Here is a 26,023-nt window from a genome sequence, read left to right on the forward strand (position 1 = left end):
AGATACCACTCAGCCAGTATATATGTCTCCCCAATGCTGCTTTCTGTCATTGTCACATATTCGAGCAAAGTCAGGAATCTGACTTTCAAAAGCTAGCTAGAGAAGAAAATAAGAGTTCTGTTGCCAGAGAGGAAATAAAACACCCGTATGTCCCAATCAGGCATTGCCAAGAGTTTTTTGGCATTTAGTTTTATAATGCCTGTGAAATTAATGGGTGCCCTTCAAAATAGTCTCTCTCTTTATCCCTTATATAGCCATGCCCATGTCATTGTCCAGTTTCAGCAGGTTCTAGATCATTTCTAATTACTTGCTAAGCAAGGAGGAGAAGCATAAATCAACCATTTGGTGGACCTCAGGTAATAGGGAAATTCTTGGCTTGGCTGCTGGCTGGTATTTTTCACTGGTGACATCAGGGAAAGGAACAGAGGAAGAAGATGTCATGGAATTGAGATGACATCCCTTCATTCATGAGAGAGAGGTTCTAGTGCAAAATGATTTATTTTCCTATCTGCTCTGAGACACTACCTCCTATTTTTAGGGTCCTGAGATTGAAGGCCATGTACCCTAGAAAGGGGCCTTTTTGATGTTGGAAAGGATATGTGTATTAGACCATTTTTGCATTGCTATAAAGAAATAGAGGCTGTGTAATTTATAAAGAAAAGAGGTCTTGGAGGGTGTATGTGTCCAACAATTTATCCACCTCTTCTAGGTTTTGTTTGTGTATATAGATGTTTTGTAGTAGTCTCTGATGGTTGTTTGTATTTATCTGAGGTCAGTGACAACATCCCCTTTGTCAGTACTAATTGTGTTTATTTGGATCTTCTCTGTTTTCTTTTTTTGAAGATAATGAATCATTTTATTTCTTTTTTTTTAAAATTAGCAAATAATTTTACCACCACTGTGCACGTTGTACATCCAAGGCTTTCAAAATTAATTTTTCTATAGTATTTTGCAGGATGTCCATATTCATACCTCCCCCCCAAAATCATGAGCTAGGGCTGGTACACTGAATAGCTAAAGGACAAACTGGGAGCAGCGAGGAAGACTGGCATTATCTTAAGGCTTGATACTTTCAGTTCCTGAAAACATTACTTCTTACATTTTCTACAGTTTTATAGTTGTACTTTTCAGGTGGCCCTATTGATATAAGTTATTCTGGTATTCTCTGAACTGTCTTTGATATAACTATATATTTTTTTTCTTTTTTTAATTTTATTATTATACTTTAAGTTTTAGGGTACATGTGCACAATGTGCAGGTTAGTTACATATGTATACATGTGCCATGCTGGTGTGCTGCACCCATTAACTCGTCATTTAGCATTAGGTATATCTCCTAAAGCTATCCCTCCCCACTCCCCTGACCCCACAACAGTCCCCAGAGTGTGATGTTCCCCTTCCTGTGTCCATGTGTTCTCATTGTTCAATTCCCACCTATGAGTGAGAATATGCGGTGTTTGGTTTTTTGTTCTTGCGATAGTTTCTTATTATTAGTCTAGCTAGTGGTCTACTATGAATTTTTCTAAAAAGACCAATTCCTGGATTCATTGATCTTCTGAATTTTTTTGTGTGTCTCAATCTCCTTCAGTCCAGCTCTGATTTTGGTTATTTCTTGTCTTCTGCTAGATTTGGGGTTGGTTTGCTTGTGCTTCTCTAATACTTTTAGTTGTGATTTTAGGTTGTTAAACTGAGATCTTTCTAACTTTTTGATGTGGACATTTAGTGCTATAAGTTTTCCACTTAATACTGCCTCAGCTATGCCCCAGAGATTCTGGTATGTTATATCTTTATTCTCATTAGTTTCAAAGAACTTCTTGATTTCTGCCTTATTTATCCAAAAGTCATTCAGGAGCCAGTTGCTCAATTTACATGTAATTGCATGGTTTTGAGTGATTTTCTTAGTATTGATTTCTATTTTAATAGTGCTGTCATCCAGCAGTGTCATTGGTATGATTTCAGTTGTTTTGCATTTGCTGAGGATTGTTTTATGTCTGATTATGTGGTCGATTTTAGAGTATGTGCCATGTGGTGAAGAGAAGAATGTACATTCTGTTGTTTTGGGGTGGAGAGTTCTATAGAAGTCTATCAGATCCATTTGGTCCAATTTTGAGTTCAGGTTCTGAATATCTTTGTTAATTTTCTGCCTCAATGATCTCTCTAATACTGTCAATGGGGTGTTGAAGTCTCCTACTATTATTGTGTGAATGTCTGAGTCTCTTGGTAGGTCTCTAATAACTGACTTTAAGAATCTGAGTGCTCCTGTGTTGGGTGCATATATATTTAAGATAGTTAGGTCTTCTTGTTGAATTAAACCCTTTACCATTATATAATGCCCTTCTTTGTGTTTTTTGATCTTTGTTGGTTTAAAGTCTATTTTGTCTGAAATTAGGATTGCAACCCTGCTTTTTACTGATTTCCATTTGCTTAGTGGATTTTCATCCATCCCTTTATTTTGAGCCTGTAGGTGTCATTGTGTGTGAGATGGGCCTCTTGAAGACAGCATACCATCAAGCTTCTTATCTAGCTTCTTACTCTGTGCCTTTTAAATTGGTCATTTAGCTCGTTTACATTCAAGGTTAGTATTGATATGTGTGGATTTGATTCTTTCATTATGTTGTTAGCTGGTTATTATACAAATTTGTTTGTGTGATTGCTTTATTGTGTCACTGGTCTATGTACTTAAGTGTGTTTTGGTATTGGCTGGTAACATCCTTTCTTTCATTTCGACCTTGGAAAATCTGATAATTACGTTTCTTGGGGATGATATTCTTATGTAGAATCTTCTAGGGGTTCTCTGTATTATCTGAATTTGACTGTTGGCATCTCTAGTGAGGATGAGGAAGTTTTCATGGATGATATTCTGGTACATATTTTTCAAGTTGTTTGCTTTCTCCCCATCCATTTCAGAAATGCCAGTTATTTTGTTGATTTGGCCTCTTTATATAATCCCATATTTCTTGGATGATTTGTTTACTCCCTTTTATTCTTTTTTCTTTATTTTTGTCTTTCCTGTTTCAGAGAATCAGTCTTCAAATTCCTAGATTCTTTCATTACCATGGTCTATTCTGCTGTTAATACTTGAGATTGCATTGTGAAATTCTTGTAGTAAGTTTTTTGGCTCTATCAGATCAGTTAGGTTATTTTTTATACTGGCTATTTTATCTGTCAGGTCCTGTATCATTTCATTGTGATTCTTAGTTTCCTTGGGTTAGATTTTACCATTCTTCTGAATCTCAATGGTCTTCATTCCTATGTACATTCTGAATTCTATTTCTGTCATTTCAGCCAACTCACCCCAGTTAAGAATCCTTATTGAAGAACTAGTGCAACCGTTTGGGGGACATAAGACACTCTTCCCATTGGAGTTGCTGGAGTTCTTGCATTGGTTCTTTTTCTTCTCCGTGTGTGGGTATTCCTTTAACTGCTGAGCTGCCTCTGGTTAAAGTGGTCAGGCAGGGGCAGAGTGGGTGTGCTGGGGTCCCAGGTCAGGCAGCCCTGCCCAGTGAGGAGAAGTGAGGACCAGGATGTAAAAGTCTGGCCAATTTTCCATAAGGCTGCTGCAGTATGCTGGGGTTCCACTGCAGCACCTAGTCATTTTGGGTTTCCCAGCACCTGAAGGTATCAACAGTGAAGGCTGTGAAACAGCAAAGATGGCAGCCCACCCCTCTCTGGGAGCTCCATCCCAGGGAGATATAGACTTGTTACCAGCCTAAACACACCAGCAGGAGATGGCTAGACATCCTGGCCGGGAGATCCTGCCCAGTGAGGAGAAATGGGATCAAGGACCCATGTAAAGTAGCAATCTGGCTCCTTTTTTGTAGAGCAGTCGTGCTGTGTTGGGGGTCCACTCCAGCTCCCAGTCACTTCAGACTCTCCAAATTCCAAAGATAACAACAGCTAAGGCTATGAAACAGCAAAGATAGTAGTCCACCCCTTTCTCTGATAGCTCTGTCCCAGGGAGATTTGAAACAGCTGCCAGCCAGAAGACATCAGCAGGGGTTGTTATAGACTTCAGTCAGGAGATTCCGCCCAGTAAAGAGAAATGGGATCCAGGAGCCACAGGAAAAGGCAGTCTGGGCCAGGTGTGGTGGCTCAAGCCTGTAATCCCAGCACTTTGGGAGGCCGAAATGGGCGGATCACCTGAGATCAGGAGTTCAAGACCAGCCTGACCAACATGGAGAAACCCCGTCTCTACTACAAATACAAAATTAGCCAGGTGTGGTGGCTAGCCCCCAAATCTTGATGTGTAAGAACAATTTCCCACTAGAATGAACCTACATGGAGAAAATGGCTGAATTCACATCCAGGAAAAGGGAAAATAAAAGAGGAGCCTGAAAGATTTTGTGGTAGCAAGCGAACAAGGGCTCAAAGAATAATGGGGACATGTCAAAATGATACAAGAGCCAGTGTGAAAGTGTTTGCACTGGCCAAACTGGGGACAATCTGAGTATCAAAAAATTAGGAACTCTTGGGCTGGGTGCAGTAGCTCACGCCTGTAATCCCAGCACTTTGGGAGGCCAAGGTGGGCAGATCACCTGAGGTCAGGAGCTCGAGAGCAGCCTGACCAACATGGAGAAACACCATCTCTACTAAAAATACAAAATTAGCCAGGCGTGGTGACGCATGCCTGTAATCCCAGCTACTCAGGAGGCTGAGGCAGGACAATCACTTGAACCCAGGAGGCAGAGGTTGTGGTGAGCCGAGATCATGCCATTGCACTCCAGCCTGGGCAACAAGAGTGAAATTCTGTCTCAAAAAAAAAAAAACAAAAACAAAAACAGAAAAGAAGAAAAGAAAAGAAAAGGCAGTCTGGCTGCTTCTCCATAGAGCTGCTGTGCTGTGCCAGGGGACTGCCCCAGTCCCTAGTCACTTCCTACTCTGTAGAGCCCAAAGGCAACAATGGCTAAGGCTGTGAAACAACAAAGATGGTGGCCCATCCCTCCCCCTGGGAACTCTGTCCCAGGAAGGCTCAGAACCCTGCCAGCTGGAAAATATGAGCAAAGGTGGCTGGTGACTCCAGTTAGCAGGTCCCACCCAGTAAGGAGAGGTGGGGTCAGGGACCTGTGTCAAAGAGCAGTCTGGTCGCTTTTTCATAGGGTGGCTGCACTGAAGGCAGCAATGGCTAAGGCTGTGAAACAGCAAAGATGGTGGCCTGCCCCTTCCCCTGGGAGCTCTGTCTCGGAGGTGTAATGCTGCCACTGGTAGCTGGCTGGAGTTCCAAACCAGTGGGTTTTATCCTGCAAGGATAAGATCCCGTGGAAGCAGAGTATGCAGACCATCGCTGCTCAGCCCCCTGGATTCAGCCACTTTCCTAGGGTTACATATGGGAGTCTAACCTCCCACTCTGCTGAAGTTGCAGCCACTTTTGCCAGGAAGCCAGGGCATCTAAAGCTCCTGGGGGTCCATGTGTGCCTGAGAAGCTTCTCTACCAAGACTCCACATAGTTCTGCATGTCACACGGCACACACGGCACACCCTGGTGGAGTGGGTTCACGAAGGGATCTCCTGACCTGAGGGTTACAAAGATCCATGAAAGAAGCATGGGTACCCAGGGTCACTTACTCATTCTCTGCTTCCCTGGGTGAGGGAGGTTCCCCTGGCTCTGTGTTGCTCCCAAGTGGGTGGTTGTCCTGCCTTGCTTTTCTCCATTCACTGTGGGTTGAGTTGTTTTCTTGACGAATCCCAATGCATGTACCTGGATGTTTCAGTTGAAGGTACTGAATTTACTCGCCCCTTCTATTTCTCTCCATGAGAGTGGTGCACACTAGCTGCTTCTAATTGGTCATCTTGGCCAGCCTCTCCTGATGTTGGATTAATTATGTCACTTACTGGAGTCTGTTTCCTCATATATAACTTGATAATGATTTCATGTTGCATATTCACCAAATGGCTTGTAATTAAAATAAAATGTAAAGGACTTTCTAGGGTTGTACATATGTGAATGGAATCTATTCTATTGGAATAATATTAAATTTAGTTTATTTATTTACTCATTTCACAAATACTTAGTAGGCACTTGTTACCAATATGGAGGTAAGGAAACAGAAATGCAAAAAAGTCTGTCTCCTGCAATTGAGAAGTTTCCAGTCTAGCAAAAGATATTAATAGTTGTGTGAACAAACAAACAAACAAAAATACAGTGCTGTGTGGGCCAAGAGGAGGGACCAAACAGCAGCAAAACAATGTCTGGCCAGGTTTTTCAAAAGAGTTGATGTTTGAAATAGCCTTGAGTTTTGTTACTACCTTGCAGAGAAAAAAAAAGAGAGAGAGAATTCAAAGTTGAAATGGCACAATATGCAAAATTACTCTGGCATATTAACATGGAGTGATGAGGAAATGAAGAAAAGTGTAGGATATCTGTATAATTGGGAATGTGGGAACAAAACGGTAGATCAGATTGATGGTTATCCTAGGCTGAATTCCCCATAAGCAAACCCTATAATATAGATTTATGCACAAGTAATTTATTAAGTAAGTGCTTCTAGGAGACACCATTAGGCAAAGGGAGAATCAGGGCAGAAAAAATAAAGAAGGCGTGCAAAGGTCTGATTTCAGGCAAAGTCCCACACAGGGTAGTTTCAGTCTTGTCCTCAGGAGAATTCTGAAACATAAGTAAGTCATTCCTTAGAACTGTCTGACCTGAAGGTAAGTACCCAGGCTTTCATACTTCTGCACACAACATCAGCCCATTACCTGAGGTTCACCCAGGAAGATTCAAGCTCCCAGCTACTTCTTCTTCTCTGTTGCTGCAAGACAAGAAGCTCTACTAGCCAGTTAGTTCTCTGAAAGTAAAGGTGCAGGTTTTTGAAGGCAAAAACACACCAAAGCTGGAAGAGGGAGTGCCCAGAAATCGTAAAGGTATCCAAAGGGCTCTTTGGTCTACAAGCTGACACTGGCAGTATATGCTAGAGCTGGGGTTGGTAAGATAGTCAGAGTTAGATTGTGGATAATCTTATATGACAATAGACTTCAAAATTTTTTTCTTCACATACCTGCTGAAATAATTTTTAAAAATAACATATGCTTCCTTGGGCACTTTTAAGTTAGCATCTATATTTTATTAAATTAAGATGACAACTAATATTAGGTCAGCATTACTCTAATACTCAAGCCAGACAAAGACATTATGAGAAAGGAAAATTATACATCACTATCTCTCTAAACTTAGATATAAAAATACTTATCAAAATATTAACAAATCAAACCCAGCAATATATAAAACAAATGATAATATATTGTGACCAAGTAGGGTTTGTCCAACAAATGAAAGCCTGGTTCAACGTTTGAAAATCAATAAAGATAATTCACCATATTAACAGGCTAAATAAAAAAATCCATATATCAATAGATGAAGAAAAAGCATTTGATAAAATACAACATCAATTCATAATAATACTCTCAACAAACTGGGAAAACAAGGGAACTTCCTTAATCTAATAAATGATGTCTAGAGAAAAAAATTATACCTATAGCTCTTTTCATACTTTATAGTGAGACACAAAATGCAATTGCCTTAAAATGAGAAACAGGGCAAATATGTTGTCTTTCACTGCTCCTATTCAACAAAGTACTGGAAGGCCTAGCCAATGCAAAAAGGCAGAAAAGGGAAATAAAAAGCAAGCAGATTGAAGAGGAAGACATTAAACTATCTTTATTTGAAACAATATAATTGTCAATGTAAAACAAACCTGAAGACAAAAGAAATCTTTCTATAACTAAGTAAATCTAGCATGAATGCAGGATACAAATTTCATGTACAATAGCCAGTTATATCTTTAAATAACAGAAAATAAAAATTGGAATTATAATTAAAATACTGATATGGTTTGGCTGCATCCCCACCCAAATCTCATCTTGAGTTTGTAGCTCCCATAATTCCCACGTGTTGTGGGAGGGAGCTGGTGAGAGATAACTGAATCATGGAGGCAGGTTCCCCCATACTGTTCTCATGGTAGTAAGCCTCACAAGTTCTGATGATTTTACAAGGGGTTTCCCCTTTTGCTTGGCTCTCATTCTCTCTGGCCTGATGCCATGTATTAGTGTGTCAGGTTGCCTAGGCTACAGTCTTCTGTCATTCGATCAATCTAGTTGTTGCTGTGAAAGGACTTTGCAGATATAAAGTCTCTGATCAGTTCATTTTAAGTATAAGACATTATCCTATGCAACCTGGCTGGGCCTGAATTAAAGTTGAAAGGCCTTAGAAGCTAGTCTGAGGAAAGAAAGAAAAAAAGAGAGAGAAAGATGAGAGAGGAGAGAGTAAGAGAGAGAAGAAGAAGGAGGAGAAAGAGGAGGAAGAAGAAATTCTACTTGTGGACAACAGCTTCAGCTTGTGCCTGTGGAGTTTCAACCTGTTGGTGATCTTCCCTTCCTTACTAAGGTCTACAATTACTTATGCCAATTCCTTGTAATAAATCAATCGATAGATAGATAGATAGATAGATAGATAGATAGCTATAATATGCAAATGTTTTAGCAGCTGTTCATAATCTGCAAAAACTGCAAGCAACTAAATGTACTTCAGTGGGTAAATGGATAAACAAACCATGGTATATCCATATAATGGAATACTATTCAGTGATAAAATGGAATAAATTATTGATTCACACAACAACATGGATAAATCATAAATAAATTTTGCTAAGTGAAAGAAACCAGAAACAAAAGGTTATACATTATATGATTACATGTATATGGCATTCTGGAAAAGGCAAAACTATGCAAATGAAACACAGATCAGCTTCCCCAAGTTATCAGGGTTTATGAAAGGGGGAGTGGTTGATTAGAAAGGAGATGCACAGGATAATTTTTATTGTGATAAAACGTTCTGTATGGTAGGTACTAGGATGGTAGATACATTACTAGGTGCATGTTTTAAAACCCTAAGAACTGTTCATCACAAAGATTAAGCATTAACGTATGCAAATAAAAAAATCAACAAGAATTTCAAGGGATCTCTGATGGGATTCAAACTGTGACAAATTAATGTAACCTTACAATAAATGTATTATATAACCTCAGTGAATGGTGTGGCTGGAAAAGGAGCTAACCTAAATAACTTTGGAAAACTGTGTTTTGACCAAAAAATGTAAGCTAAAAGACGAAACAAACTGTACATAAAATGTACTCTAATTGTCAAATTTGTTTCTCAAAGGGACATGGGTTAAGAAGTTTGAATACTTTAAGTACATACTATGATTGAACCTATAAGTACATAAATGAAACATAGTGGAGTCATGTTTCTCACTGTCAAAGAAAGAAGTTACAAATAAAATAAGGGGGAAGACTAGAATGAACTCTGAATTAAAGTTGGAGACAGTAAGTATGAATTCATGTTTATGTTAATATACATACAGAGACAGAATAATTACAGATATGTATGTATACTCTGGTTAGTGTGTGTGGGTGTGGGGGTGTGTGTGTGTGTGTCCTAGCTCTTTCTTCTGAGAGGGCCTAGAAGTAGCTATACTTCCAGTAGCAAGAAAATACACTTGGTGTTCAGACTTTAGTTTCTAAATACCATTCTTTAGTAAGGGGAACTAGGGCTCCTTGAAGAAATGACTGATTCTAGAACTGGGGAAGGAAATATACAAAATGAGCCTGGAGCATTTTGTAGTGCCAGAAATTAAGGAAGTGCTCAAACGAAAGGATGGGAGTATGTGAAAGGAAAACGAAATAACTCCCAATGGCTAAATCTGGAAAAATTTGAATAAGAAAATAAGCTGAAAAAAAAGATATATATGCTTGGATTACAACTCAAATATAAAATATACATTGTAGAAATAAAGAGCTCTCAAATGAGAACAAGTACACAGGCTATTTACTCAGAGCTTGCTATAGCAAGGGAGTTAGCCATCATCACTTGTGTTTTGGCAGAGACTCAAAAGCCAGTAAGAAGAGTGGGAGAACTTTGTGTTAGAAAAGAGAGAGAGCTTCAGATGTGCCCTAATTGGAAGCTGTTGACATGGGGAAGCAGGAAATGGGCTAAATGAAGCTGGGCATCCTGTGTGATTCGTTTGAGGAGCAGATTCAGGTTGATCCTAAGTTGAAAGCAGGGATAAAAATTAGGGAAGCTGTCAGTTATTAATCAAGTCCTGGCCATTTGGAGCTGATTGCTACAGGAGTTATTGTTTGGCTTCCTGGGTTATTAGCGACAGCAGCTTGACTGTCTACAAGTCTGACTCATAGATAGTAGGTTGGCTTCCTGGCTGGTTACTGTAGATAATGTGTTGGTTTCCTGGGCTGGTTGCTGCAAGTTAGTTATTTCTGTTGATGTTACATTTTTAGTTTGAGAAATGTGAAGGCAAAAAGAAATACTCTGTACTATCTTTGGGATGCTTCTATAAATCTGAATGTATTTCAAAGTAAAAAATTTATTTTAAAAAATATGTATCTCCTCAGGCACTTTTAAGTTGATGTCTAAACTTTTTCATCACAAGTTTAAATATTTGCAAAGAATATCATTTCCAGTATATTGTAAATATTGTTATTTTAAATTAAAACTGTCACATCACTCTTTTAAATATATTCAAAGGATTATAAATACGAATGCAATTTGAACCATAATCTTCAATTTAAAAAATACATGAAAAAGCTATTCTCCTGTCAGAAATATTAAATTATTCCTTTTTTTCCTTGAACTTATATATCCAAATTACTTCCCCTCTATAATTTTATCCTATTGAAATACATTTTTGTGCTGTAAAATTCCATTGATTACCCTAACATGCCAGCCTGCAATAAGAATGTGTATATTAAATTGAAACTTTAATTTTTAAAATTACCTGTGACCTTAAGGCTCAAGTGTTAATTATATTTCAATCAAAAAGAAATCTTATTCTTAGTACACGTTTGATCAAAATGGAATATATTACAAAATTTGATAATTATCAAACCCAAAAAACAATTATTTATTGGAAATGCATATCTCCTTAAGAAGGATAGAGGTTACTTTTGATTTAAGGAGAGCCTTTGACACCAACATTTGTAATTGTCTCTGTGTTTGTTACCCAGGAGGTATAACTCAGGGGAAAACTCTATGACAGGATTTTTATTGAGTAAGAAATGTGCCTTTCTTTTGTAAATAAGATAAAGGAGATTGTGAAATAAAAGGGGGGGATGTAAGAGAACTCAGCTTGAGGCCTTGACCCCAAGTGACTTTTTCTACTAAAAGAAAAAGTAAATATGGAAGTTTAGGATTTATAAGTGACTGCTTAAAAACCAACCATGCCTGTGTCCCACTTGGCAAGATGTAATGTATCCCTGGGAGTAAAAATTCCCCAGTCTACTTCATATAGCCCTGGGAATACAAATTCCCCAGTCTGAAAGCCACCCTCATGAGAATACTGAAAGAGTTGGAGTTTATTCTGAAGCCAGTGGATAACCGAGAGCAATTGGAGTTGCCAAGCAGAAAACATCTGTGCTTTAGAAAGAGAATCATGGCCATTATTTCCTGGATGGATGAAAGGAAAAAGAAACTGAAGGCGCTGAGTTGCTACAGTAGAAACATCTCGCAAAAGTCCCTATGTGTGAGTTCCAGCCTTCCTCCTAATCAGGTTCTTATTTATCAGACAATGAGGCCCATTAAGTGGTAATCATCTCGCTAAGGAGGCATTTCCCCTGGTATTCTAGTTCTGTAAACATCAGGTAATTCTCATTCCAACAAGTTGAACCTATTCAGACAGAACAAAGCATATTATAGAACCGCAGTCCCTCTGATGACAACACAGCATGATGAGCCTAAAGGATCCTTTGTCTCTATGTATTTGGATGGAGACATTTATCCTTAGCACTTTCCACAATAGAGTTGGGTCCTAATTTAAGGAAACTCTCTCCAGATAGAATCTGCTTCAAATGAATGCAAGAACAAAACCTGGAGCCTTGCAGAGAGCCCTTTATATCCCAAAAGTCTGTACCAATATTGTTTTTCTGACATGAGCAAGCCTCTATTTTCAAATTCCCTGGAAATCCTTTAGGAGGAATACTTATGTAGTCCAAATTTAGATACCTGCTAAATATTTAATATAAATAATCCCTTTCAAAATATTTTTCTGATTATGGATAGATAAGAATAAATTTTCTCTAGGTAATACTAAAAATATGTTTTAAGTGTTTCACACCTGGGTTAAGGGAAAATTATGTTGCTGTAGTAAGATGATATCTTGACAGGTGTTATACAACCCAAGCCCTGGAAAGCCTAAAAGGGTTTAGCACTCACAGATGGAACAATGGCAAGAGCACACCTGGACAGGGGAGGGGAAGGAGTTCTTATTCCTGACACAGGCAGCCCCTACCACTGTGTCATTCCCCTATTGGCTAGGGTTGGCCCTCACAGTCTAAGCTAATTCCGATCAGCTATTTTAAAGAGAGCAGGGATATGAGCCAGAGTGGTGGGGTGAGTAGTTTGGTGGGAAGGATGGTTAGGAACAGGTAACTAAAGGTGGCTTAAGTCAGAACAGGTGACTAGGAGTGACTGGTTTTCCCACCAAAGAAGCACAAGAAGACTCCATGAATCTTCCTTTCAATCGAATTGGCAAAGAAGGCAAAGCCTCTGAAGTCTAGACCCAGCCTGCTTCTTCAAGGGAATTGTGGGATTTCCATAACAGGATGGAGGTCAAGATAGTAAACATTATGAATAAACTGCCCTTGAGTTAATGCACAGTCCAATGGACTGCATGCTCTTGAATGGCAGGGGCTAGATCTCACATAATCTTATACTATTACACCCAACAGAGTGCCTGGAACTGTTAAAGAGAAATTGTACCAGACAAGTTAAACAGGCAAGGAGGACTTTATTCAAGACGATTGCAATACAGCAGATTGAATTTGACTCTGAATACAACATGGGCAGCTGGACATTTATAGCCAATAGGCAGGGTAAGAGAGTCAATGGATAAAAAATTACCAAGAAGAACTTGGTTAGGTATCAAGGATCTGGGGTGAATTCTTGCTAAACTGGCTTGGCTTGATTCTTGCTGAACTGGGCTAGACCAGATGTGGCTTAGTTGAGAATAGGGCTCAGAGAAGCCTGATGAAAGTTTGGTAAAGGAAGAAGTCCCTTTTAGCACTTAAAACCATCAGTATGTTCAGCTCTTTTATTCTTTGATTCTCCATTTTAAAGTTTAACTTCCTGGTTCTCTTCACTCCCTTGCTTTTAGTTTCAGGAAACAACTTTCCCACCACTCCTAATCAGTAGTTCATATCTGTTCCCTGGTCACCTCCTCCATCCTGACTCATCCTGGTCACCTGCTTTGACCTGAGTCACTCCTAGTCACCTGCTCTGACTTAAGCCACCTTTAGTTACCTGTTCCTAACCATCCTTCCCACCAAACTACTCACCCCACCACTCTGGCTCATATCCCTGCTCTCTTTAAAATAGCTGATCGGAATTAGTTTAGACTGTGCGGGCCAACCCTAGCCAATAGGGGAATGACACAGTGGTAGGGGCTGCCTGTGTCAGGAATAAGAACTCCTTCCCCTCCCCTGTCCAGGTGTGCTCTTGCCATTGTTCCATCTGTGAGAAACACCCTTTCTGCAGAAAGTAAAAATTGCCTTGCTGAGAAAATTATGTTCAAGTGCTATTTCTTTGCAGCACTGGGGAACAAGCATTTTGCATTTCTAACACAACTTAACCTCCTGAGAAGCTGGAACCACAGGTGCATACCACCAAGCCCAGCTCATCGTCGTGTGTGTGTGTGTGTATGTGTGTGTGTGTGTATGTGTGTGTGTATGTGTGTGTGTGTGTGTGTGTGTGTAGATGGGGTCTTGCTATGTTGCCTAGGCTGGTCTCAAACCCCTGGGCTCAAGTGATCCTCCCACCTCAGCCTCCCAAAGTGCTGGGGTTACAGGCATGAGCCACTGTGCCTGGCCAACATTTTCTAACAAAGGCATTTCTTCTAATTAGTCCTTTTTACTGACACTCACAAGCTGATCAGTGTGTCTTATACCAAAAAGGCCTGCAAACCAAATCACTGCTGACCATGCTGCTCTCAGTCTGAAAGTATGTAGTTGGGTCCTCCAGGAGGGAGATGCTGAGACTAAATTGGAATACAATAGTGAAGCAGGATATTTCCCTGACCCCTTCACAAGCAGGAACTGGAGTATGTGGGTGCTGGCAGGGGCAAACTCCACTCACTTGACCCACTGTGCTCCACCCCTCATGGGAGGGGGCACACAGGTAAGCAGGTGCAGGAGCTGGGGCGAGTGCTTTTGGGTACTGGCAAGAGTCCCCTTACTGGGGACCCATCCTCTTCTGCCCAGAATTTCCCTGCCTCCTGTTGCTATCAATAGGTTTATTAGAGGAATAGCTCCCTGAAAGATAAAAGAGCAGAAAGTAGAATTTGGCAGGGAGCATCTCCAATGGCAAGTCAGATCAGACAGTCATGGTCAACCCAAAGAGGGTCTCCAGATCAAAAACTGCCCATTAGAGGAGCCTCACACTGGACAGAAATGGCCATGTCCTAGTAAGCCCAACCATGCTCAGCCTTTGGCTAAGAGTTGCACAGGATGAATGCAAAGTCTACTCTGAGGTAGCTCTTGAAGGTGCTGCAGTTGAATGGCAAGTGCATTTTTGAAGGGAAATCTGAATGGCACAGCACCATGACTGCCAAAAAGAAACATTGCAGAGAAATCAGGAATTTTTCTTAAGAGGTAAACTGCTGTGAAGCATGGATTCCCTTCTTTCTAAGTACTAAGTATAAGAATGAGCATGAGAGTGAAGGACAATATGCCATCCCAAAATATGCCAGATAAGTATATTGATTATTTTGAGTTGAAAACATTGGAGAAATTGTAGTTTCAGAAAGGGCTAGTTGACCTGTCTCTTCCTGCATGTGACAAGCCATAAAGATTCCTCTGGGAGGGGTACCCTCACCATACTAGGGTGAGAAAACAGCCTTTATCACCAGACTGGAAATTGGGGGAAATTAAGATGAATAAATATATTCAACAAAGTATATTTCTCTATGCTTAATGAAGTAACCCTTGTTCCACTAGTTTCATAAACCCCTATATATCCACCTCCTAGAGACTCCCTTAGAAAATTTACTGCCCCTAGCCAGATTTTCTTTATCCTGTCACTTCTTCTCACATTTTTCATTCTTTGTCTAAAAAGTATAAAAGCGTCTTGCTTTGACCACTTCTTTGGGCTTCACTCTGTTGTGAAGATCCTCATATATGTGTAAAACTAACACAGTTTGTATGCTTTTCTCTTGTTAATCTGCCTAGTGTCAGTGTGGTTTCTAGATCCAACCAAAAAGCCTGCATAAGAGCCTAAGAGGAGTTGGAGGTAATCTCTGACTCCCATACGGAAGTCATTGCCCAGTGTGGGGCAATTCTTCACTGGCTGGAACATTGCTTACTCCAGAACTGCTACAGCTGAGATCCTGTACCTCTGACAAAAGACTGTCAAAGGTACGATTTCTTACTGTCAGATTCCTGGATCGCTGTGGTGGTAGCTGGTCAAGGCAAGAATGGTAAGACTCTCTGCGTCTTTTTCCCTCTCCAAACTGGGATCGACAGGAGGAAACACTCGTGAACTAGTTCTTTGGGTATAAAGTGACTTTTGGTGTTTTTGTGAGTACTCTAGATTTCTATTTGATCCTTTTGCTGTTAGATATAGTCTTTATCTTATTTTCTCACTGTCTTTTTGTGTTGTTTGCCATAAGGAGAGGAACCGTAGGCATAGGTAGAGAACACAGGCATAGGTCCTTATAATCCTGCTGTTCGAATCGGCCTTCACAGATCAGTGAGTTTACAGTTCTCATCAGGCCAGTGTCTGTCTAAACAAACTTTGCTCTGGGTCCCTGAAACAAACAACAAATAAAATGAATGAGGTTCCCCTCTTGTCTTGTTTTATGTGTCCTGAGGGCTTGGCTTTGCAACCAAAGAAGACACCCTCTCTAATCACTGCCATCAGAGGGGCACAAAGAATTGGGTTTGTGTTAGGCAGCCAGTCTGAAAAGACTGGGGATTTGAGACACATAAGATATTAAGCAGCACTTTCTTTGTCCAAATGTACCAAGCTCTCAGGGAGTTTTATAAGAGGCCAACTCATGAAGTCTTTTGTTGTCTGGATCAGTGCTGGGAAACTCCCATCCCAGTATTGCCTGCCTGATGTCAGAGATTAGTGGATTTATAAATAAAGGCGACTCACATTCCATGAGAGACCAGAGACATCGTCTGCACACTCTCCTTAATTTCCTGTGGCAACAAAGGTCTTTGCTTTCTTAGTCTATTTCTGAGAGTGAATTTTTAGATCATAGGGGCTGCATCTTCTGTGCCCACTCCAGAAATGTCCCTTGCATCCCTGTAAAGATTTATTCTAAGCCTGGAAAGTTACCTTCTAGTCTCTCCATCAAAAGGCTTAAGTGAACATTGGAATATATACACTAATGAAGATCCCAATTGTCAATGACCAAAAGACAGATCCTTTGAAATAGAAAGACTACTATATTTGAAAAAATTTTGAGAGAGCTTTCATTCTAAAACATCAACCTTTATGGGAAGATCAGGTAGAATGAAGAACCCAGAAAATTATGGCTAGCCTTAGAAATTCCCTTAACAAAATTAAAGAGCAAAAAACAGACCTAGAACACAAATTGAAACTCGATCCCACTATAAATCCTCCTTCTCCACCCACTTACACCCTGCTTTATCCCCAGCTCCCTGTCCCTGACCCACCAGAGGATCTATTGGATCTCAGGGTCCCTGATTTGAACCCCCCTCCTCAACATCCAGCCCTATCTCCTCAGCCTCTCCCTCCTATTCTGTCTCCTCAACAAAATTATTTGACTCCTTCAACCTCCCCAGAAAGCCCCTTAGATATACAGCTGCCTTCTTTAACCTTCTTTTCCCAGGGTGATTTACAAAAAGCCCTCTTGATCTCAAAATCCAAGGCATACAGTCATTTGTGTAAAACTTAACAACCAAGAAGTAAAACTGGCACAGATTCCAAGAACATGCGGCAAGGCTCACTTTTTTTCTGTCCCTTACAACCTCTCCTATTTCCCAGGGCCTTGGAATCAGACTCCATCAGCTCCAAATCTTCCTACGCAATGTTCTCTGTGAATGTATCTTAGACCCCCTACTCAAAGAATTTTTGTTTCCTGGACAGCAACAGATCTTTTAAATTATAAAGCCATTTTGTCTCCACTTTCAGAAGATCCTACCAAGTTTAGAGAAGAATAGGAGAAATCAGTGGCCATCCGTAATCCCATTCATAGGAACCTTGACTGGCTGCTAAGAGGTGTACTTCCCTCTCATGATCATACTGCAGTTAATAACTGGCCAGACAGGCCAGACAGCCCTCTGGGGAAAACCCCCTCCACAGAGGGAACAGATGGCCGGAGCCCCTCCCTGGCCCTCCTGCCAATGAGGAGATAGCTCAGCTAAGATGCTGATATTCAGGGCCTGATAGGGACAATATTAGAGGCTTTCCCTCCTAAGATGAATTGGTCTAGGTCAAATTGTGTATCCAGGAAGAGAGTGAGCACCCCAAGGCATTTGTCGAGAAATTTATGCAAGGTTTTCAAAGGCATACGGCATTAGATCCAGTAGCTCCAGAGCATAGAAATCTTCGAATTTCTGCTCTGGTTGGGAATCTTCTTCCTGATATAAAAAGTCAATTCAAAAATAGTATAGTTGTTTCGGTTGGTCAGTCTCTAAGCATTATAATAGAAGCAGCTACTCAATTCTTTGAAAATAGCTTGCAAGAAAATAAGGGGAAAAAATAAAATCAACAGTTCTTGTCTTGGAGCTTGAATTCTTACAAAAACAAAGGCAAGCCTCTAAGAATGATTCAAAGTCCTCTCATACCTTTGGTCAGCTACAAGGCTTTTCTAGTTTGCCTTCAGAAATTTGCAGATCCTGCAAAAAGCTGGGGCATTGGAAAAACTGCTGTCCTATAAAAAGAAAGAAAGAGAGAGAGAGGGAAGGAAGGAAGGAGGGAAGGAGGGAAGGAGGGAAGGAAGGAAGGAGGGAAGGAAAGAAGGAAGGAAGGAGAGAGAGAGGAAGGAAGGAAGGAAGGAAGGAAGGAAGGAAGGAAGGAAGGAAGGAAGGAAGGAAGGAAGGAAGGAAGGAACTCTCCCTAAAACCCAGCACCCTCAGAAGGCTCATTTTTCCCCTCCTGTGGCACGATACCCCATTGATTGGTGGGGTCAGCCGATTCTCCCTTGCACTCCAAAGCCCACCATTCAACTTAAAGTAGAGGATCAGGAACTGGATTTAATTGACACTGATAGGACTTCCTCTACTATTTGCTCAGTGGAATTATCTCTGCTTGTTACCTCTGATTCTATTCAAGCTACTGGGGTCTCTGGGCAACCTATTTTACTGCCCATATCTCAGGACATTCAAACATCCTTAGGCCCTCTTAACACCCACCGTGCCTTTCTAGTTTCTGACTCCTCACCTGCAAATCTTTTAGGTAGAAATTTATTATGTAAGTTTAGTGCTATGATACAATATAATAAAAAAGGCATTTTTATTTCCCTACATTCAGAACAAACTTCAAGCTTCCTGCTCTCTCAGGGAAACTCTTCTTGATTTAAATTCCTCTAAAGAAGATGCAATCTTAAAAGATGTCCCAGCTAGTCCCTAGGCTTCACATGCAAATGAGATTGGACTGCTACTGAGTACAGAACCTGTATGCATTGCAGAGAAAAGGAACAAATATTTCCCATCAGTAGCTCAGTGTCCCCTCTCATGAGATGCAGAGCAAGGAATCAAACATATCATAGACTCCCTTTTGCAATAAGACATGCTTATTTTTACCACTTCACCCTGTAACACCCCAATCTTACCAGTAAAGAATGAAGGAAAATTTGATTCAGATGGAAATCAAATCTATTGATTGGTGCAAGATATAAGAGCCATAAGCACCTTTGTAATTCCCCACCACCTTGTAATCCCCAATTTGGCTGCTATCCCTACCTCAATTCCTGGTGATACAGCCTGGTTTACAGTAGTTGACCTCTGCTCAGCTTTCTTTTTGATTCCATTGCACCCTGACTCACAGTTTCTCTTTGCATTTAGAGGAAGACAATTAACATGGACTCTCATGCTTTAGGGATATTGTGAGTACCCTTCAATATTCTCTCCAATCCTTAAAACCACTTGGATTGTAGCCTCTACCCAACGCTCCACCTTGTGCTTTGTAACCAAACTAAAGAAGATACCCCTACAGACTCTCTCAGTCTACTAAAAGTACTCACTGAACCATGCCATAAAGCCTCCAGGTCTAAACTTCAGTTTGTGCAAACAACGGTTACTTTCTTAGGACATGAAAGATCTCAGGGCACTCAGAAGTTCACCCCAAAATGCATCCAGTCAATTTTGTTCATCCCTTTCCCCAAGACAAAAAAGCAGCTGTGTAAGTTTCTAGGGGCAGCTGGCTATTGTCAGCAATGGATTCCTAATTTTGAGGCTATTGCCAAACCACTCTATGCCCTCTTTCTAGATGCCACTCCAGAGGCCACTCTGTGGCCTTCAGAAAAATTAACTTCTTTCAAAGCCTTGAAATTAGCATTGTCCTACCCCCTGCTCTTGGCTTACCTAATTTTGATAAGCCTTTTCACCTCTATTGTCATGAAAATAGTGGGGTTGCTGCAAGTATTCTAAGGTAACCCTTTGCCTCTCAAATACAACCTGTAGCATATTTCTCATGCCAATGGGATCCTGTGGCAGCAGGCACGCCCCCATGCCTGCATGCAGTAGCAGCGGCTGCCGCCCTAATTACTAAAGTCAGCACCCATACATTAGGCTCCCCCATCCACCTCGATGTTTCTCATGCTGTGTCTGCTCTCTTCCAAGTTCTTAAGATGCAGCACCTCTCTACACATGGACAGAGCACCTAGGAGCAAGCCCTGTGAACCAATCTCTCCATCATCTTATGCCTTTGTGACATTAAATCCTGCTACACTCCTACCCCTCCCTGATGATGAAGAGCCTCATTCCATTCCACTTGATTGCCTAGCAGCTATAGAAATGGGTTCAAAGCCATGAGGGGATCTCTCAGACTCTCCTTTAGACAACCTAGCCTTGCTGCTATTTTGTAATGGCTCTTGCAAATTTAATTTTAAGGGAAACATAATAACTGGCTATGCCATAGTTTCCCCACATGAAACGCTTGAGGAATACTCTTTGCTGACTATAAAGTCAGCCCAGGCTGCTGAACTTATAGCTGTTATTAGAGTTTGCACATTGGCAAAAGGAAAAACTGCCACTATTTACACTGACTCCAATATGCTCTTGGAGTCTGTCATGCTGTTGGCACAATCTGGAAATCCCGTGGATTCTGAACCTCTGCTGGTACTCCTGTTGCTAATGGACATATAATTGCTGCCTTATCACAGGCTGTTCACCCTCATACTAAAATTGCTATTGTTCATTGTCCAGCCCACACTAAGGAGACTGATACTATATCTTTAGGGAATGATAGGGCAGAAAAGGCTGCTAAGTACACAGTCAAAAACTGACCCCTTTTCATTTTTCCACCCAATTTATGAATTCGCCTTTATTCCTGACTGATATTATTGATTTTCAGGTAAATGCCCCAAAATACGAAAAAGATAAATGGATACAAAAGGGTGCCAAGCAGTTATCAGATGGATTGGGTATATTAGGCCAAATGGACTTCCTGTGGCCCCTTTTCTTTTAACCTTTTGGCTTGTACTTATGTCTCATCAGATGGGACATATGTGCATATGGGGGATAGTTGAGGAACTAAAGAATACTTGGTTTTGTCCTGGGATTTACAACATTTTTGTCCAAATTATTTTCCCATGCATTACTTGTAAATCTTACCAAATTTCTGGAAGAAACCAACACTCCTCAGTCAGCCCAACAGGGTGACTATAGTCAATAATAATTTAATTGTACATTTAAAAATAACTAAGAAAGTATACTTGGGCCGGGCGCTGTGGCTCACACCTGTAATCCCAGCACTTAGGGAGGCTGAGGTGGGTGGATCACCTGAGGTCAGGAGTTCGAGAACAGCCTGACCAACATAGTGAAACCCCATCTCTACTAAAAATACAAAATTAGCTGGGCATGGTGGTGCATGCCTGTAACCCCCAGGTACTTGAGAGGCTGAGGTAGGAGTATCGCTCGAACCCAGGAGGCAGAGGTTGTAGTGAGCCGAGTTCACACCATTGCACTCCAGAGCGAAACTCTGTCTCAAAAAAAAAAAAAAAAAAAAGAGTATAATTGGATTGTTTGTAACACAAAGAATAAATGCCTGAGGGGATACATACCCCATTTTCCATGATGTGATTATTACGTAATGCATGCCTATATCAAAATATCTGATTACCCCATAAATATATATACCTAATAGGTACCCACAATTTTTTTAAAAAGTAAGTCTACTTCCACCTATTTTCTCCACTTTTTTGTTATTTTCCCACTACTCTTGTTTAGGTAAACGAAAAACAAAACAATACAAAAAGACCTCTTTTTTTCATTGACCAAATCTTTTCCCTGTCTGTTGATAGACTATTAAAAAGCTGACTGGAGACTGTCTCACTCTATTCTGTTCTCCCTCTGATCCTCTACTGTGCACCATTTTTCAAACTGTGTCTTGATCTTATTAACTCTTATTTTTTTCAACAAGTCAGGTACAGACCTGGTACCTCTTTGTACCAGTCTTCCAAATCCTGTCTATGATAACTAACCAATCTGATTGTTGGTTATGTCAACATATTTGAATGTCAACATTATTTGAAAGAACCTGAACATATTTTTGTTCCTGCCAATGCATGTCTGGTGGATAAAGTCCAGAGAATAAACATATGCCAAGAGAAAACAATCTCATGCTAGTTATCCTTTTGCCACCAACTCAACTTTTAATGTTCAAAACTTCTAGTGATGTTTCAAACTGGGAAAATGAAGGAGTAAAGTAATGTAAAATGAAGGAATATCCCAAACTACGCAGGACTTATATGTTGATTATTTTAAGTTGAAAACATTGGAGAAATTGTAGTTTCAGGAAGGGCTAGCTGACCTGTCTCTTCCTGCATACAGCAAGCCATAAAGGTTCTTCTTGGAGGGGTACTCTCACTGTACCAGGGTGAGAAAATAGCCCTTATCACCAGAGACTGGGAACAGGGGGAAATTGACCTAAATAAACATACTTAATGAAGTAACTCTTATGTTCCACTAGTTTTATATCCCCCATATATCTCCCAGTGACTCCCCTAGAAAACGTACTGCCCCTAGCCAGATTTTCTTTATCCAGTCATTTCTTCTCAAATTTATCATTTTTTGTCTAAAAAGCATAAAAGCATGTTGTGCTTTGACCACTTCTTTGGACTTCACTGGCTTCACTCTCTCATGAAGAGCCCCATGTACATGTACAACTAACACAATTTGTATGCTTTTCTCTTGTTAATCAACCTGTCATCAGTTTGGTTTCTAGAGCTAGCAAGAGCCCATATAAAAACCTAAAGTAGTTGGAGGTAATCTCTGACTCCCCTACAGGCAAAATGATCACCATGACTATTTTAATCCTTTAGTTTGTGAAATATAACACGCATACAGAAACTTACACAAGAAAAAGGCATACAACTGAAGAATTTGTCACAAAATGAACACTCATGTAACCACCATCCAAATAAAGAAATAGAACACTGCCAGCATCCCCAAAATCTTCCATGTCCTGCCCACCCCAAATTCTACCCCTCCTTTTACCACAAAGATAACCACTATTCTGATTTTATTATTATTATTCTCTAGATGGCAATTTGATTGTTCAAGCAGGTTAAAGAAAGCTTCTGGCCGGGTGCAGTGGTTCACGCCCATAATCCCAGCACTTTGGGAGGCCGAGACGGGCGGATCACCTGAGGTCGGGAGTTCGAGACCAGCCTGACCAACATGGAGAAACCCTGTCTCTACTAAAAATACAAAATTAGCTGGGCACGGTGGTGGGTGCCTGTAATCCCAGTGTAATCCCAGCTACTCAGGAGGCTGAGGCAAGAGAATTGCTTGAACCTGGGAGGCGGAGGTTGCAGTGAGCCGAGATCGCACAATTGCACTCCAGCCTGGGCAATAAGAGCGAAACTCTGTCTCAAAAAAAAAAAAACAAAAAAAAAAAAAACAAAAAAAAAACAACCTTCTGCCCAAACTCAAGAAAAAGTAAGTAGATTTGGTGGTCGTTAGTATTGTTAATTATTTCTTCTGATACAGGACTCCCTTGCTGTCTTAGGTCCTTCTAGTAGATCAGAAAGAAGCTGATGGGCAGAGTGAAGGTAAAGTAGTAGAGTCCTAATTTAGTCCATTTGAACTTGAAATGACTGCTGTAAACTTATAAGGTACGCAAACAGAGAATATTAAAGTAAATAGTTCACTATATTTGATTCACCATTAGGTCTTCAGAAACACTTTTGGCAAGTGTTAACAAGGTGAACTTGTTAACACAGACTATTGTCAAAGGCAGAGTTCCCTCAGAGACTCACGGGCTTAATTCTCCAAAGTGCCAGAGTTGTCCTTCCTTCTGTTAAGACTATTCTACGAGTAGCTGGTTCAGGCTCCAGGAACCAGGATTCATCTCCCATATGCTCTTTATTAGTTTTTTCTTTTAAAAGGTTTTAAAAGAATATGTCCTTGTAAAATTAAAGTTAGAACTATACAGAAGTAAAAGGTAAAATTGCTCTCTTAGATTGGATTCCCCCAAAAGTACACCCTGATATTAGGATTTGGGGACAAGCAGTTTATTTGGAAGGCCAAAGAGCACAGTGAGGGAGTGGGGGAAATTATACAGGAGAGGGAAGAAGGAAAGTCAGTAAACGATGTGCCGATGAGTAAATTCTCAGGGCTCAGTTGGGGCTCAATTCCCCTATGAACTTCTAGTAAATAGTACAAAACAGAGGTTGAAAACTACAGCCATGAGCCAAATCAGACTCACTGCTTATTTTTGTAAGTAAAGTGTTAATGGAATAGAACTATGCCCTGTTTTTGTTCACATGTTTTCTATGAGTTGACTAATTATGACACACAGTGTTATCTCAAAGTTTGCATTATTTACTCTCAGTCCCTACAGAAAAAGTTTGCCAGTCTCTGGTATAGAACATGTCTCAGAGTCGTCCCATCTGAGGGTGGGGAGCTGAAATATTTATCTACCATCATTCATACCTCATTGGCTGAGGGCTACTCTGAGTGTGACAACTCCTCAGACCTTCTGGCTGACTCTGTAGGCAGACCAAGCACACTCCTGTATCCAGAGAAAGCCCTCTTGGAGAGAGATGCATGTGCTTGCAGTATGAAACTATAGGCATTTACAGAAATAATGAATGCCAAGGAGGTATGATCAGGACAACAATAGTATCTGCTACAATCCCTATCCCACATATACATCAATTCCAATCCCCATAGGTAACCACTTTAAGATGTAGTTTGGTGTGTATCTTTCCAAACGTTTCTCTATGTATGCAGAATGTATTACACATATTTGAATGCACTGGTTTATTTGGCAGTTAATGCCAGGGCAGGTATGAAAAAACAGAGAGAGTGAAGGAAGGAAGGAGAAAAATCTAATAAAGGTTTATGTTATTGTGTCGGTAACTGCAGTGGGCAAGTGGGGACCCTCTGAGTGCCTTAGAATTGTCCCTTGGTGCTGACTGAACCTGAGGATGTTAACATCTCCCTGCTCTATGGCTTCCCTCCATAAGGACTGAATAAGCCTCTACAACTTTGGAGAAAGCTCTGAAGCCAAGCAACAACAACAACAAAAACAAAAAACTAGCAGGCAATATAGTAGGCATTGAGACAAGATGTTGAAAATACACACAGAAACTGTCCAACATAGCTGCACTTGAAATCAAGGATAAACCATAGGATTCTGGCTAGGGGAACCAAAAGTTTCTACTACAACCCTAAATCATGTTCACATGGTTAATTGCTTATATGATCCAATAAATCTAACCAGATGAGAAAATAGTCAACTGTTGGATCAGTGAGTTATAAGATACTCGGAAACAACAACTTGTCCATTCACCTGCCTTTGGATAGGCATACTCGTCAATTATCTTAGCCAACCATTACAATAGACATAACATCACTACCTTTTTTGTTCAGTTATTTTTTATCCAGCAAGTTGTAAATACCATCATGCTTTCCTTACCTTTTTTGTTCGGTTATTTTTTAACCAGCAAGTTGTAAATACCATCATGCTATACGAGGTCAAAACCTTGTATACATTTGTGGTCCTAATGTAAAAGGAAATGATAACTGTATTATTTATTCCTCTGCCTCGTTTATACGTGATCATTTTTCCCAACTACAGATAAAATGAGTTGTATTTAATTTGGATGATTCTTGGTTCTCTGACAAATTTCAGGGGGATTCTTTTTGAGATGGAGTCTTGCTCTGTCACCCAGGCTGGAGTGCAGTGGCATGATCTTGGCTCACTACAACCTCCACCTCCTGGGTTCAAGTGAGTCTCCTGCCTCAGTATCCTGAGTAACTGGGATTACAGGCACCTACCACCAGGCCCAGCTAATTTTTATATTTTCAGTTTCACCATGTTGGCCAGGCTGGTCCCGAACTCCTGACCTCAAGTGATCCACCCGCCTCAGCCTCCCAAAATGCTGGGATTATAGGCATAAGCAAACACACCTGGCCTCAGGGGAATTTTGCACCCAGGCCTATTGCCTCCTCTGGTTTTTGTTTTTTTTTTTTTTTTTTTTTTTTTGATAAGGTCTTCCTTTGTAGCCTAGGTTGGAGTGCAGTGGTGTAATCATGGCTCGCTGCAGCTTCAACTTCCTGGACTCAAGTGATCCTCCTGTCTCAGCCTTGAAGTAACTAGGACTATAGGTGAATCCCACAATGCCCACCTAACTTATTTTTTCTAGAGATGGAGTCTTGCTATTTTGCCCAGGCTAGTCTTGAACTCCTGGCCTCAAGCAATCCTCCCATTTTGGCCTCCCAAAGTGCTAGGGTTACAGGCGTGAACCGCCATACCCAGCTTCCTATCTGGTCTTATACCTTTAGAGAGCATGCCTTGGGTGCCATACTCTTTGCCTAATACTGTGACT

General features: G+C 40.6%; 2 annotated features.

Annotated features, from left to right (window-relative positions):
• Positions 10,065 to 10,265: a silencer, noted in NCBI's record as "peak7375 fragment used in MPRA reporter construct". NCBI's record gives its function as "represses an SCP1 promoter by STARR-seq MPRAs in K562 erythroleukemia cells {active_cell/tissue: K562}" and the evidence as "EXISTENCE:reporter gene assay evidence [ECO:0000049][PMID:32103011]".
• Positions 11,207 to 12,011: an enhancer, noted in NCBI's record as "OCT4-NANOG hESC enhancer chrX:43309398-43310202 (GRCh37/hg19 assembly coordinates)". NCBI's record gives its function as "activates a minimal SCP1, AML or CMV promoter by ChIP-STARR-seq in naive and primed H9 embryonic stem cells {active_cell/tissue: H9 hESC(naive and primed)}" and the evidence as "EXISTENCE:reporter gene assay evidence [ECO:0000049][PMID:30033119]".

The sequence above is a fragment of the Homo sapiens genome, chromosome X, assembly GCF_000001405.40.
Source record: "Homo sapiens chromosome X, GRCh38.p14 Primary Assembly".
NCBI classification, from domain to species: Eukaryota; Metazoa; Chordata; class Mammalia; order Primates; family Hominidae; genus Homo; species Homo sapiens.